Source organism: Homo sapiens, chromosome 7, assembly GCF_000001405.40.
Source record: "Homo sapiens chromosome 7, GRCh38.p14 Primary Assembly".
NCBI classification, from domain to species: Eukaryota; Metazoa; Chordata; class Mammalia; order Primates; family Hominidae; genus Homo; species Homo sapiens.
The window spans coordinates 54,932,802-54,949,262 of record NC_000007.14 but is presented as its reverse complement, the minus strand read 5'-3'; the positions used below and the strand labels follow the sequence as shown (position 1 = coordinate 54,949,262).

At 36.4% G+C, this 16,461-nt stretch overlaps 1 pseudogene; it reads right to left on the bottom strand.

Moving 5' to 3' along the window:
• Positions 9,623-15,863, bottom strand: LOC643168 (Rho GTPase activating protein 5 pseudogene; annotated as a pseudogene).

Below are 16,461 nucleotides of genomic sequence, written 5' to 3'. Positions count from 1 at the left end.
ACTTGGGCCATATGACCCAGGAGATCCAATGGTTTGAGGTATCACTGGCAGATAGGGATGCTGTTTGGAGCCTTTGGCAGGTTCCCATAGGTGAGTCTTAGCGGAGGCCTTGAGGATTTTGGAGCAAGGCCTTGCCATTTTCTTTTTTTTTTTTCAGTTTTTTTTTTTTATTATTATACTTTAAATTTTAGGGTACATGTGCACAACGTGCAGGTTAGTTACATATGTATACATGTGCTATGTTGGTGTGCTGCACCCATTAACTCGTAATTTAACATTAGGTATATCTCCTAATGCTATCCTTCCCCCATCCCCCCGTCCCACAACAGGCCCCAGTGTGTGATGTTCCCCTTCCTGTGTCCATGTGTTCTCATTGTTCAATTCCCACCTATGAGTGAGAACATGCGGTGTTTGGTTTTTTGTCCTTGCGATAGTTTGCTGAGAATGATGATTTCCAGCTTCAATCATGTCCCTACAAAGGACATGAACTCATCATTATTTATGGCTGCATAGTATTCCATGGTGTATATGTGCCACATTTTCTTAATCCAGTCTATCGTTGTTGGACATTTGGGTTGGTTCCAAGTCTTTGCTATTGTGAATAGTGCTGCAATAAACATACATGTGCATGTGTCTTTATAGCAACGTGATTTATAATCCTTTGGGTATATACCCAGTAATGGGATGGCTGGGTCAAATGGTATTTCTAGTTCTAGATCCCTGAAGAATCGCCACACTGACTTGGTTGAACTAGTTTACAGTCCCACCAACAGTGTAAAAGTGTTCCTATTTCTCCACATCCTCTCCAGCACCTGTTGTTTCCTGACTTTTTAATGATCGCCATTCTAACTGGTGTGAGATGGTATCTCATTGTGGTTTTGATTTGCATTTCTCTGATGGCCAGTGATGATGAGCATTTTTTCATGTGTCTTTTGGCCGCATAAATGTCTTCTTTTGAGAAGTGTCTGTTCATATCCTTCACCCACTTGTTGATGGGGTTGTTTGTTTTTTTCTTGTAAATTTGTTTGAGTTCATTGTAGATTCTGGATATTAGCCGTTTGTCAGATGGGTAGATTGCAAAAATTTTCTCCCATTCTATAGGTTGCCTGTTCACTCTGATGATAGTTTCTTTTGCTGTGCAGAAGCTCTTTAGTTTAATTAGATCCCATTTGTCAATTTTGGCTTTTGTTGCCATTGTTTTTGGTGTTTTAGACATGAAGTCCTTGCCCATGCCTATGTTTTGAATGGTATTGCCTGGGTTTTCTTCTAGGGTTTTTATGGTTTTCGGTCTAACATTTAAGTCTTTAATCCATCTTGAATTAATTTTTGTATAAGGTGTAAGGAAGGGATCCAGTTTCAGCTTTCTACATATGGCTAGCCAGTTTTCCCAGCACCATTTATTAAACAGGAAATCTTTTCCCCATTTCTTGTTTTTGTCAGGTTTGTCAAAGATCAGATAGTTGTAGATATGTGGCATTAATTACAAATCTTGAATGTCATAGATTACTGCATCAGTAGACTATTATCTATATAAAGTCACATAATTTTAGAAACTCTGTTCATGAAGTTGGCAATGCAAACATTGCAATAACACAGTAAGTGGTTATTTTGGACACAGTTTATGTAGGTAGTTAAAATGCTTTGTCAAAATCAATGAACGGTAGAATTACATACCACATACTCCCAACATCTAACCATCTTTAAGCAGTCCTTTTTTAATCTCGCTGGGATGGTAGCATTTCAAAGGCCTAGGGCTAGACTGCAGTGAAAAGGCTATTACCCTGCCCCTGTAAGCATAGCGTGAGCATCAGAATCCTGAGTAACCACTGAAGGACAAGATTCTCCTGACACTTGGTCTCTGTCTCTCACTGTTACGTGAACAATGACAAAACAGAGATTCTTAAAATTTTGTTGCTTTAGTTATACATTTAAAAAAGCACACATAGATATTAAAAAAATAAAGAATAAACAGTAGATACCTATATATTCAAGCAGGAAAATAGGAAATGTACTTTCATCTGTTTTTAAGTTCTAAGACAGAACCTATTTTTAAATAATGGCTGTCAAATCATTTTGACTTATTCAAAGAAAGGGATTAACTACCTGGATACAGATAATCAAATAGCATGCACCCTTTTTCTTCACTTTCCCACCCTGCCCCCAGTCTCAGGCACACCCAGAGATTATATATAACAACGTTTTTTTCCATTAGATCTTCTGTAGACAATCTCGCTGAGAAATCAGGAAAACCAAGCTTACCACATAGTGAGTGAAATCTTTCCTTTTATTGGATTTGGCTTAAACTCAAGCTTTTTGAGCAGCAAATTTGACAGGGGTTCAGGAAAAGTCTCTGCCTGGACTCATCCTGGAACACTGGGCCACACCTCATTTCAGAGTTGTACGGCCCAGGTATGTACAAGGTGTGGCAGGCAGAAGTGAGCTCAGTTAAATAATGAATTCTGTATTCCTAGCTTCTTCTTTGATGCAGTATTTTCTTCTTACTGGAACTTCTCTATGACCTAGTATTTTCCTCCTTTCTTTTTATTCAAATTACTGTCAGAAAAAAAGATTCGATAAATTCATCAGCTCCACAAAACAAATGAAGGATCAGTTTAGGTGAATACTCCTTTCAAGAATTTTTAAAATTTTAACAGAAAACAAAACGTTAAGCTAAAGGTCTTTTATAGAGTTGGTGTACAAGTATGGCAGGCTAGAGGAATGTGGTTTGGGCTAGTGTGTTTTTCCTGTTACCATAACACCCAGATACCTTTTTAAAGCAAATATGAGAGCTTATATATCTCATGCCTCAGTAAGGGCCTCCTAACATGCCATCCTCCCAAAAGAGCAGCATGTGACTGAATGTATGACATTCCTTGTCAACCAATCAACAGAAAGATCCTCAAAATTCCTTGAAGGTTTCTGTACTTGTGTCTATCCCATCACAGAGTACACGCATGCACACACACACCTTTCTCTTATCAGCTCCATTATATCCTTACTTTAATTCAGTCTTGTTTCATTTCTAATTCAATCACCTGCATGCAGGACCAGGCCCTGATTCGCACCTTCTTCTGAAGGGTTGTGGTCTCTCTGACACAGTCATCTCTCCAGTTGCCATTCCCCAAGTTCTCTTGAATCAACTCTGCCATTTTTATGATCTCTAGAAAGTTGATGGCTTTCTATTATTCAATTATGTCGTTTCTATCTTGAGATCTTTCTATGTAGCTTGGTTTAACTAACACCCTACTTTTTTTTTTGGTTATTGACTAACCTTGTATCATATTGGCCTCCTAGTCTTAAAACTATGATGGCAAAAGTCATGTAATATGTTAGCTTTTTCTACTAATTAATACATTTAATATAGCTTTGATCTTCAAAATCATCTTATACATATATATATATATATATTTTAGTTTTGTCGTATAATTTGCTTCCACTTTCTTGCATCATTTTATTTCTCTTAATTCCTACTGACTTTTTCTGATTTTCCCATGAAACTTTCATACTCAACAAGGCCATTTGATAGGAAAGCTTTTGCTATTTCTTAGATGCAATTACTGTTTTTTTTTGCATTACCATCCATATATATATACATATATGTATATACATATATGTGTGTGTGTATATATATATATACTTTAAGTTCTCAGGTGCATATGCAGAACGTGCAGGTTTGTTACATAGGTATACACGTGCCATGGTGGCTTGCTGCACCCATCAACCCATCATCTACATTAGGTATTTCTCCTAATGCTATCCCTCCCCTAGCCCCCCACCCCGCTACAGGCCCCCATGTGTGATATTCCCCTCCCTGTGTCCATGTGTTCTCATTGTTCAACTCCTGTTTATGAGTGAGAACATGCAGTGTTTGGTTTTCTGTCCCTGTGATAGTTTGCTGAGAATGATGGTTTCCAGCTTCATCCACGTCACTGCAAAGAACATGAACTCATCCTTTTTTATTGCTGCATAGTATTCTGTGGTGTACATGTGCCACAGTTTCTTTATCCAGTCAATCACTGATGGGCATTTGGGTTGGTTCCAAGTCTTTGCTATTGTGAATACTGCCGCAATAAACATACGTGTTCCTGTGTCTTTATAGTAGAATGATTTATAATCCTTTGGGTATATACCCAGTAATGGGATTGCTGGGTCAAATGGTATTTCTGGTTCTAGATCCTTGAGGAATTGCAAGACTGTCTTCCACAATGGTTGAAGTAATTTACACTTTCACCAACAGTGTAAAAGCATTCCTATTTCTCCACATCCTCTCCAGCATCTGTTGTTTCCTGACTTTTTAATGATTGCCATTCTAACTGGTGTGAGATGGCATTGTCATCCATTCTATCTCATTTTGTTCCGGTTTAGAAAAATGCTTCTCATTTTCAGTGTTGCCATCCACCTTGACTCAATGTGTTCACATTTCCTGTAGGATCTTTATTCATCTCTTCATTCTTGTATGCATCAACTTCCTTGAATTCCATGATATTAATTTTTATTCTACTTTGCTTTTATTATTTTTATGCTTTCCTTTAAAAATCTTTATATAATAGTTGTTTTCAAGTCCTTGTCTGTCAATTGCATTATCTCTGTCATTTCTGGGCCCATTTTTATTCATTGATTTTCTTCTGATTATGAGTCCTAGTTTCCTGTTTCTTCACATTTGGGTTTTTTTTTTTTAACACTGTGCAATGTGAATATCACATTACTGAGGTCAGGATATTTTTCTTTTAAGAGAACTGAGTTTTGTTTTAACAGGCGGTTAAGTTTCTTTCGGATCAGCTGGATTCTTTAAATGCTTTTGAAAAAAAGCATTTTTTTAAAGCATTTTAAAAAAGCATTTTTAAATGCTTTACAAAAAAAAAGCATTCTGTCAGGGCAGGTTTATAGTTCCCTATGCTAGATACTTCAGCCCTACTGTTAATTCTTGACCTTTCTGAGTGCACTTTTGAATGCCTTTGGTGTTTAACGAGCTTTCTACATTCTGCCTGGTCAGATGCCAATTATTCCTCTGCCCTGTGCAAGCTCTAGTGAGTGTTCAGTTTTAGTTTCCTAGTAGATGTTCTTTCCCCTATAGTTTTGTGCCTAGTCTCACGGATCCATACTCTAACCATGCATAGCTTGGTGTTCAGCCGAAGACTCCAGTGAATGCTATGGTGCTCTTTCCCTGCCTTGCTCACTCTTTTCCAATACTTTTTGCAATTCCAGTGACTTTAGACTAACTGAACTCCAATCACTGTTTCTTCAACTCAGTGAAGCTATCATGCTTTGTTTGGATTCTCTCCTAGTACTGTGTGTATGTGTGTGTGTGTGTGTATATATATATGTGTATATATATGTGTGTATATATATATGTATATATTTAAGTTTTGTTAAGTTTGTGGATAACTTTTTATCCACAAACAAGGTATATTCCTCCATTTTCTAAATTCTATTTCACGTCTTTAATAAAGGTTTATAATTTACTTCCCAAAAGTTTGTGTATCTCCCTTGTTAGACTTATTCCTTGGTCCTTGTGTAGTTACTGTATATTTTATCTTTTTTAGTTTTTTAAAAATTCAAACTTATAGAAAATTTCAAAATTATATAAAAGTTGCAAGAATATTAAAAAGAACTCCCATACAATCTGGAATTGACAATTTCAAACATGATCATGTTTATTTTATCATCTTTATCCATTTCTAGATACATAGACACAATGGCAAAATTTCACGGAACCATTTGGCAGTGAATTGTATACATTATGTACCTTCATGCCATAAAAATTCAATATATATATTTTATTTTTTGAGACAGAATCTCATTCTGTCTGTCGCCCAGGCTGGAGTGCAGTGGGGCAATCTTGGCTCACTGCAACCTCCCTATCCTGGGCTCAAGTGATCCTCCCATCTCAGCCTCCCAAGTAGCTGGGAGCTGAGACTGCAGGCACGCACCATGATGCCCAGCTAATTTTTGTGTTTTTTTGTAGAGACAGGGTTTTGCCATATAGGCCAGGCTAGTCTCAAACTCCAGGGCTCAAGTGTTCCCTCTGTCTCAGCCTCCCAAAGCGCTGGGATTACAGGCGTGAGTCACCACACCTGGCCTCAATGTGTATTTCTTAAGAAAAATGATATACGTACTTTTAGACATTTACAGTTCAGTTATAAAATGCAGGAAACTGAATATTTATAATACACTTTTATTTAAACTATAATCTATATTCTAGTTTTGTCTCTTACATCAATAATTTTTCCTTTACAGCAATGATTTTTCCAGTATAGAATCCAGTTCAAAATCATGAACAACAACAAACAATTCTATGGCAATTGTTTGTTGTTCATGCCATTGGCATGTTTGAAGAATAAAGGACAGGTATTTTACAGAGTATAACTCAATTCGAGTTTGTCTGATGTTTTTCTTACATTTAGATTTAGATTTTAGATATTTTTCCTAGAACGTTGCATAAGTGATGTATGTTTCTTAAAGACACATGTGATAATCTTTTGCCCCTTAGCAATGTTTATTTTGATGACATGTGGAAGGTTTTGTCTGACTTCTCCACTGCTTACTTACTATTTTTTGTAATTAATAAGTATATATTATTAATCTAACAACAAATTAAATCATTTCTTCCTTCAAATCTTTCTATTCTGTATTTGTATCTCATATTTTTTTTGCCATCTTACTGCACTGAATACACAGTAGTAATACTAAGAATCAGCATCCTTGTTCTCTTCCAGTTTTTGATTACTTCCTTCCTTCCTTCCCTTCTTCCTTCCTTCTTTCCTTCTTCTTCTTCCTGCATTTTACTTTGTATTTCTAGAAATCTATTTAAAAAAAGAAATCTATTTAATTTTTTGAGTCTATATTGTGAAATATATTTTTTCTGAAAAACTGAATTTTACCTAAGTTTTCATTTTTGTAAAATGTGACTATAGTATTTCCTTCCATTGTAATTCTGTATAGATACCTAGTTATGTCCCGATTTTATTGCTATCATTATTTCTTTGTTTTTTGTCTTTTTGTTCTTGGTCAATCATGCAATAGGTTTAAGAATTTTATTAGTCTTTTTCAAGAACTCAGTTTTAGTTTAATCAATCTTTTCTGCTGTATTCATTTCCCTCCCTACTTTTCCATATGCTCTCTCTCTTTTTTTTTAACTATGTTATGGTCTAATTGACAAATAAAAATTACATATATTCAAGGTATGCAATGTGGTGTTTTGATAGACCTATATATTATGAAATGGCAACCACAATTAAGGTAATTAGCATATCACCTCACCTAGCCACTTATGTTGTTGTTATGTGGTGAGAATAGCTAAGATCTACTCTCTTAGCAAATTTCAAGTGCATAATATGTTATTATGAAGTGTAGTTATCATGCTGTACATTAGGTTTTCAGATCTTATTCTGCAAGTGTGTACCCTTTAACCTTCTTCTCCTCATTTCTCCCAACCCTTCAGGCCCTCATAACAACCATTCTGCTCTGTGCTTCTATGTATTTGACCTTTTTAGATTTAGATTCCACATATTCTCTTCCCTCAGTTTTCTTTAAGAACACTCTGCTGCTTTTCTTTTCTTTTCTTTTCCCCTTCCTTCCTTCCCTCCCTCCTTCCTTCCTTCCTTCCTTCCTTCCTTCCTTCCTTCCTTCCTTTCGTTTCCTTCTTTCTTTCTTTCTTTCTTTCCTTTTTCTTTCCAAGTTTTGCTCTTGTTGCCCAGGCTAGAGTGCAGTGGCGCGATCTCAGCTCACTGCAACCTCCACCTCCCGGGTTCAAGCCATTCTCCTGCCTCAGCCTCCCAAGTAGCTAGGATTACAGGCATTTGCCACCACGTCTGGCTAATTTTGTCTTTTTAATAGAAACGGGGCTTCTCCATGTTGGTCAGGCTGGTCTCGAACTCCTGACCTCGTGATCCGCCCACTTCCACCTCCCAAAGTGCTGGGATTACTGGCATGAGCCACCACACCTGGCCTCATTTTCTAACTTGTTAAGCTGGTTTTTGAGCTTTTATAAATAAGCATTTATGAATATAAATTCCCCTCATAATACTTTGACTATAGCCCATACATTTTGATATGCTGTATTTATGTTTTGTTCACATCTAGGTATTTTAAAATATTTGTTATATGTAATATTTGATCCACAAGTTACTGAGAAATGCATTTGTAAGTGTCCAACTGTATAAATTTTAAGTTATTCTTCACTGATTTCTAACTTAAGTCCACTTTTCATAAAATATGCCAGTGTGACGCTTGTTGAGATTTGACTCTTTCCTTACTTTGCCATTCCACATCCTCTCCTCCTCACAGGTTCACACAATAGCCTGCAGGCACTGCGTGACTTTCTCTCTCTCCAGTGTTTACCTTTTGGTCTTATTCTCCTGCCACTAGGTCATCCTCTAAATCAACACATTCTAAAAATATTGGCCCATTTACTGTTTCTTGGACATGCCCCGTTTAAGGCCTTAGAAGTTGTTGTTTCTTCTGAAATACTCTTCCCTTAGAAATCCAGATGTCTGTTCTTGCTTCTTCACCCCCATTAAATGTTGCTCAAAAACTACATTTCCAGGGAGGCTTTTCCTAAACACTCTTCAGCAAGGCCAACTCCCTCCCTGTGTTCCTCCTTTGTCTTCTATTTTTCCATAGTACTCACCCCCACGGAATACCATATACATGTTACTAGAGTATAAGCTCCATGAGGGCAAGCATTTTTATGAGAATTCATTTTTCTCTTTGTAGCATCCCCTGCAACTCAAAGAGTGCCTGGCACATAAGAAGCAACCTGTAACTATTTGTTCAAAATTTTTTTCTCTTTAATCTCTCATGTGCTGTTAGATTTCTCAATCTACCTTCTTGATTCTGTACATTTTTTCTTTATATTTTTGAGACTATGTATTAGTTTTATACAAGGTTGAAACTGTTGTGTGTTATTGGTTAATTTAATGTTTTATGACATAATCTTATAATCCTTTTGCCTAAAATTTAATCTATCTGACATTCTTACCTCTGACCCAGATTTCTTTTCATTAGTATTTAATGAGTTTATCTTTTCTCCATTCTTTTACTTTCAACCTTTCTGTGTAGTAATTTCAAGTGTTTCTTTCAAGTATCATTTAGTTAGACTTTATCAAAATCTAATCCTACAAACTCTGTGTTAATGTGTTTATCTCATTTACATATATTGTGATTAATGGTATATTTGCATTTCTTCTGCCATGTTATTTTATAGTTTCTAATTGCCCTGCTCTTTCTTTCTTTTCTTGTTTCTTACTTTGACTTAATGGATTTAAACTCATTTCATCATACTAGTTGGGAGCTTATATATTCTACCCCTATTGTTAGGAGCTACTCTTACATGTTATGTTAAGCTACTCTTAAACATAACATACATACTTGGCATAAACTCTAAAGTTACTTTATATCTACTTCTACCTTCCTTGAAAACAATTATTACTAAGGTTTCATAATACTAATACTTGTTTAGATTTACCAGCCTGCTTTCTTTTTTAAGATCTTAAAAATTAAAAAAAAAATTTTTGTAGGTACATAGTAGGTGTATATATTTATGGGGTACTTGAGATACTTTGACAGGCATGTAGTAAGCAGTAATCACATCATGGAAAATGGGGTATCCATCCCTTCAAGCATTTATTCTTGGAATTGCAAACAATCCAATTATACTCTTTGAGTTATTTTTTTCTGAAAATCATCTATTTACTATAATACATATAAGACAATCTTAAAATTGTAGTCTGAATTAAGATAACATTTACCAAAGAATTTTTTTCTTTACTACACAAAATATAACCTAGTGAAATTTGCCTGTGCCACCTATTCTGAAAATTTTATCCATAATTTATTGTTCTGGTTATATCTTCACTAACAAAATGTTTACACCCAAAAGCAGCAGTCGTTTATAGTAATTCTGGTGCCAACATCAAAGGAAAAAAATTGGCTTAAAAATGGTGCAAAAGCCATTTTGGGTTTTAGGATAACACATCACAGGAAAGAACATGAATACAAATTTGTAACATAAACACTCCGAAGAGTTTGTCAGTACCCAAAGTATTTTTATTGGTTTTTTGGATATGTTTTTAAGGGCCACATAAAAATAGACACAAGGAACAAATTAAATTGAAGTCTTAGATTTAAATGTTTGGTTTAAAGAATTTTCTACAACAAATTTCATGTTTATGTATGAAAAGTTATATAAACTTAATGCAAATGTCATGAAGTATTTTCTACACTATACTAAATGTGTTCTCCAAAAGGGAAAAAATTAAAATATCTAAAATATATTAGATTAAGATTATAAGAACATCATAGATCTTTTGACCATGCATCTATTTACAGAATTAACAGTCTACAAAATGTTTATTTCATTATGGACCAGAAAGAAATGAGTTGGTGACAACTATCCTTTGCACAATATTATCAACTCACTTTAGTCACAAGCATGTCCTTGGTATGTGTGTAAAAGAAATAGGTTCATTTATCCTTCATCAAATCATCCACAGGTTTATTTGTAAGTAAAGATGAAGGTACAGAAATGTGAAATATGTCAAGTGTATTTTTTCTTTCTTTCAAACAACATCCCAAGCATGGCCTCAGTAGCCTGAAAGTATAAAATACTTAACTGGGCTTTTACTTATCTACACTGACTGCCAGAATGTAAATTAAGTTGCCCAAATTAGCACATCAAATAACAAAATCGCCAGAAAGCAGGCTGAAAAGCATTAAATGTTTCATATAGGTGAGTTTTTAAATCATTTAATTTCTATGGAAAAATTTTATTCACAACATAATGTGACAGAAATTGTCACAGGAATGATATACTGATTGCAATAAGGTTGCATGCAGCAGCAGCTTTGTATTTTATAGCTATTTTTGTTTATAAAAATTAAACCTCTCCAGTCATGCCTATCACATAGTCTTAGATTTGTAATGTAAGTGAATAAGGAATACCATCTAGTTCAAAGAGAAAATGTCATTTTGAATGTGAATTATCTGTATGAAATATGAAGTATACTACTGAACCCTGAAACATGCATGTCTAGATTTGCTTTTTGTCCAAATCCAGCCTGTTTGCAATTACTTCCTACTCATATAATACCAAGAGGTTCCGTTTGTAATTGTGGTTGTATCAGCTGAGGTTGCAATGGTGGCGGCAACTGAAGTAGTACCGTTGGTTCCACCAACTGTCCTGGGTTTGAAGGTGGTGGAGGAGCCACAGTGTTTGTCGTTTCTACAATTTCTCCATTGTAAAAGAAAAACTGACACTGTTGAATGAATGTTTCAACAACAGATTGATGAATCTTAGTAGTAGACAGAAACTCTTGATTTTCAAAATCAGCTCTCATCAAGGTTGGCCAAAAACAGATGGATTAAGTTGTCTGCTGTCATTAGGTTGATTTTATTTTGCTGACTAACCCTGTTCAGATGTGTTATCATGTATCTGAATACATCATAGTTTACAGGATGAAATTTCTTAGCAATTTCTTTCAAGGCATGAAGACATTCTGTTTTATCTGGGATTTTTGCTGTTTCCAATAGCTCTGGATGAAGAGAATATGGTATTAAAGGAACTGGCAGATCTGCAAAGAAAGCTTTAAGGGCTCCAGCTACAGCATTTACTGTTACTTCCATTGACACTAGATTGATATTATGATCTTGATCAAACTGCTTTTGAATATTGTCTTGGTCAGTTTCGTTCCTGCTAACACGGTAGAGTCCTTCAGTACATAACCCTGTATCTTCAATAAATTCCACACATTTCTCAACAAATACTGGTATGGGCTTCTCAGCTGTAACCAGATCCTGGAGGGGCATCCCAAAGTAATTACTTTCCCAATTTCTACATGTTGGTGGATTGAAGGTCTTAGTTTTCTTTTTCTGCTTTTTATCTCCTTTCACTTTGCGGGTTTTCTTCTCCATCTTCTTATCATCTAACTCCTGGTCAGAAGTGATTGCAGGATTACCAATACCTAACCTTTCCAAGTTTCAACAGGAGAAAGAAGTGGATCTTCTTCACTTCCACGATGTCTTCCTTTTCTTTTTGTTTTAGAAGTGGTGAAAGCCTCATCATCACTTGCATCTGAATGTGTTCTCCTATAGTATGACTTGGCTTTACTAAACATGATTTTAGACTTATATTTGTATTTTGAAGGCCTCCATTCCCCGTGATTTTTTTGAGGTTCTATCAGAAAATCCATTTTCTTCATCTCCTTGGGTGTTATTTACAAGTGAGTTTTGAATTTTAATGTGATTTTGACTATCATCTGGGACAATATAAATCTCATCAGAATAGCCCTTCTGTTTGAAAATTGTATCAATGGGTTCCGCATAGTTATCTGAAGGATTCATATCTTCAGGATGTGCCAAAGGCACCTGGGAAGTCCGCTTTCTTGGATTTTTACCAATACCAGCTTCAATTGTTTTTAAAATGTTTGGATCCATTTTTTTCACATTTGTCTTAGGTACAACTAGTTTAGGTTTAATAGGTGGAGGCACTTTATGGTTGCGTTCATGGTCACGACAGTTTGGGGTACTATGAATAGAATATTCATTTCCTTGCAAATCTAATCTGTATCTGGAATGGTCACTAGGTGTTGGAAGCAACTGTACATCATCCCCAGTTGGACTATAAGGAGGTAGTGCTTCTGTGTCATCATCTGAATCAGGGTAGTTGTTATAGGGAAAAAAGTCTCTGGGAGATGGTAGAAAAACATCTTCACTTTGATGGGTTGATTCCCTTGTATTATCAGACAAATAAGAATTTTCTATCATATGTTTTTTCTCTAGAACATCACTAAAAAACAGAATAAAGATCTCAGTTTGCTGATGATACTGAGATAAAGAATACAATGCTGTAAATTTAGCAGTGATCTCAGTTGCAATGTGTTCTTCAGTCATTAATTCTTTGATAGCCTCGTTTTCAAAAAAAAAATCTGCTTGGCTATCAGTAACTGCCACCAGCTGTACAGGAATGTGTTTTGAACTTCTGATAGAAATGCTCGAAGCATTCCCATTGATGCTTTCTGTTTTGCAGAGTAAATTAATATATACCCATGAACTAGTTCATCTTTTCTTACTCCAATTGAAGAGTGGTATGATAATATTGTGGTCTGTATTCGCCTCCTTTTTTCACCAATGATTTTATCAAGCATTAGGGAATTATTCTGTCCAGCTTGAGCAGCACTGCAAGAATGAGAATCAGGGAAGGGTGAGGGAATAAGATTCACACTAAATGGATCTCCATACATGGCACACATGACAATTCTCAAGTCAGCTTCTGATATGTCCTTCTTGGCAGAAACTGGGCTCACCACATCCAAATTGGGTTTAACAGATTCCAGTACTCCTCTTAGAGCTTGCTTTATTTGGGTTTCATAAAAATTATGAGGATATGTACCAGCAGGTACATCTACAAAAGGACATTGTAACTTGTCTGCCCTTGGTGCCTGAGAATTGGTAGATTCTTACTAATGGAATCTCTCTGATTAGCCAGAATTAATGTAAATGGAAGATTAGCCAAGTATTTATCTTTTCTGATCTGAGAAGCTTCAGTTCTTATTTTCCCAATAAATTCCCCCAATAAAACTCAATGACTTAATGGAATTAAATACACAGAAGCACCGATGTGGTTTAAAGGCAGCAGTCCATAACTGACTCAAAAGGTAAGGCGAACTGGCCGAAGATCAAGTTCATAAATTTTCCATCTAAGGCATACTCATCATCAGTGGATTGTGTCCTTATCTCATTTGCTAGTTCTTGGGCAAGGCCAACCTTCCCTAAAATAAAAAGGTTAATTTTATCTATATTGGTACTATCGTGATATAATCTTAAGCAGCCGTGATCCAACTGTAAAAGACTGCTAGCAAGTAACTGCTCCACTTTAATGTCTGTACAATTTTGGTCACTAAGACACGTTTCTTTAGTGGGATGATAAACAAATCCTATATGCTTAAGTAGAAGAGAGTCCCTATCAGGTGCAAGTTTCTGTAAAGCTTTATATCTAGGTTCTTCACTCAGAACTGTATGAATTTCACTCATTTTATCTGAACTAGGTGTTGCATTAAGATCTAAATCATAAAAAAGTTCAGAATGCTCAAAAAGCATTTCTTGAAACTTTTCTTTGGATTTTCAACTATTTATCACTGATGCCTACCATATGCCTCTTTGCTATCAGCCTCAGTGATATACTTGAAGGCTTCATCCTCCATAACAAAGCACATAACTTCCTCCCATGGCTGTCCAGGTGAAATGACTTGAATTTTTTCCAAAGTCTTTTTGAATTTTTCCTTCATTTCTACCCTCCTCTTCTCGGATATTGGATGTTGTACATGGTTCTGACAGACTTTTTCAGCTTCTAAAGTGCTCAGGAGGTCAAATGGAATCTGCCTGTCATTAATTTTGTCTATATGGTCAGTTTCATCCCAAGGTGTTTTTTCTAGCACCACAAAACATAACTGGAAATCTATTCTCTTTTCCATTAACTTCAAAGCTTCTGACCAATTCAAATGTTCAATCTCTTCTAGACTTGGCAAGAGTGTTAAAAACTCTTCTTGGTAAAGTATTTATATACTCTTCTCTCCTTTTTCTTATAGGTTCCTGTTTAAGTTGTTGTATATGTTTTGAGAATGTATTTCTGGCCTTTCTTGTTCCCTCTAAGTTGATGTATTCTTCATAATCAGGATGATTTTTTAAATTTATTACTAACAGTTTTCCAAGTTGCATGATAATCTCTCACGGTCTGCACAAGTTTTCAAACTTATCTGTTGCTGTGACAAGTTGTCTCTGTGTTTTATAAGCATCCAAATAGGGAATAATTTTAGGCTTGCTACGAGTTTTATCCAACATTTGTACCAGTGCAGTGAAACACGTTTCAATGTTGACATTAAATCCTGCTGATGTTTCCACTACAAGAAGCTTCTTTTTGTTTGAAGCAAATGCCTGAACTTCTCTAAGATAATGATCCACGCATTCATCACATTTAGTTGCCGCTATTATTACAGGTATTTTTGATTTTGATAACTGGACAAAAAGGTTATTCACAAATTTAAGTTGATCATCAAATTTCCTATTGCATCCCTGACTTACATCAATGCATAATAAAAATCCATCTACATTGAGCTTCCCTTCAGGCATTTGCTTCTGTTCAAAGTCTTGTTCTAAGCCTAGTTGATCAGTGCAAATGTACATTAGTTTTTCTGCTGACTGCAATCTAGATGCAGCTGCACGTTTTATATATGGTTGCAAATTCATACTCCGATGAGGCAAGAATGTCTGGTCATCAATGAACTGTTAAATGACATGAATTTTGCATTCTACTCCAACTTCACCATTTTGTGTTATGTCACCCCAGTAGTACAAAAAGTGATCACTGTTTACGACTCGTCCTCCAAAGTCAATGGTGCTAAGCACAGAAGTATGCTCTGGATAATATTTATCTGCTTTTGAGCGTGCAAATCTATTGCACAAACAAGACTTTCCAACTCCACAGTTACCTTTGTCTTTTTCAGTCCCAGAGAGTCCAACTACACTGATAGTATAGGATGGGGGACAAGGCTCTTTGTTTTTTGCCATCATAACTCTCTTCTCATGCCTCTACATTCATAAATGTAGATATGAAACCAGATATGCTTCTCATTCTGAAAATAAAATCATCTGAAAATACAGATCCCAAGTTTCAGAACTGTATTTGGTTCTTTGTATTTCCCTCATTTCTGTGCAGAAACATCTTCAAGATCATAGAGATCATTTTCCTAACAACGTCGGTCTCCTCTGTCTCCTCCTCAACCACAGCGGCCCTGGCTGTGGCTGCGGCAGCAACATTCCTGGGTAGCGCTCCCGCCGCCGCCTCCTCCTCCACTCTCTGCTCGCCTCTCCCCCGGCGCGCTCACCGAGCGGCGCGTCCCTTCAGGCACCTCCCTCCGCCCTCCCCGACACACACGCCCGGAAACCCTGAGCCCCACGGCCCCCGCAGCCTGCTCACCCACCCTCCCTCCCTCTCTGCCACCAGCTGCGGCCCCGTCCCTCCCCGCTCTCCCAGCGCCAGCCGCAGCGCCAGGCTCAGTAATGGCGGCCACCCGGGCTCCCTCGCGCTGACCTAAGTTAATTTTTAATGTACAATTAAAGTATTATTGACTATAGTCACCCTGTTGAGCTATCAAATTCTGTCTTATTCATTCTAATTATATATATATGTATGTATGTATGTATGTATGTATGTATGTATGTATGTATGTATGTATATGTATGTTTTGTACCTATTAACCATCCTCACTTCCCTCCTTCACCCCCCCACTACCCTTCCTAGCCTCTGGTAATCATCCTTCTACTCTCTATCTGCATGAGTTCAATTGCTTTGATATTTAGCACCCACAAATAAATGAGAACATGCGAAATTTGACTTTCCAAGTCTGACTTATTTCACCTAACATAATGACCTCCAGTTCCACCTATGCCGTTGTAAATGACAAGATC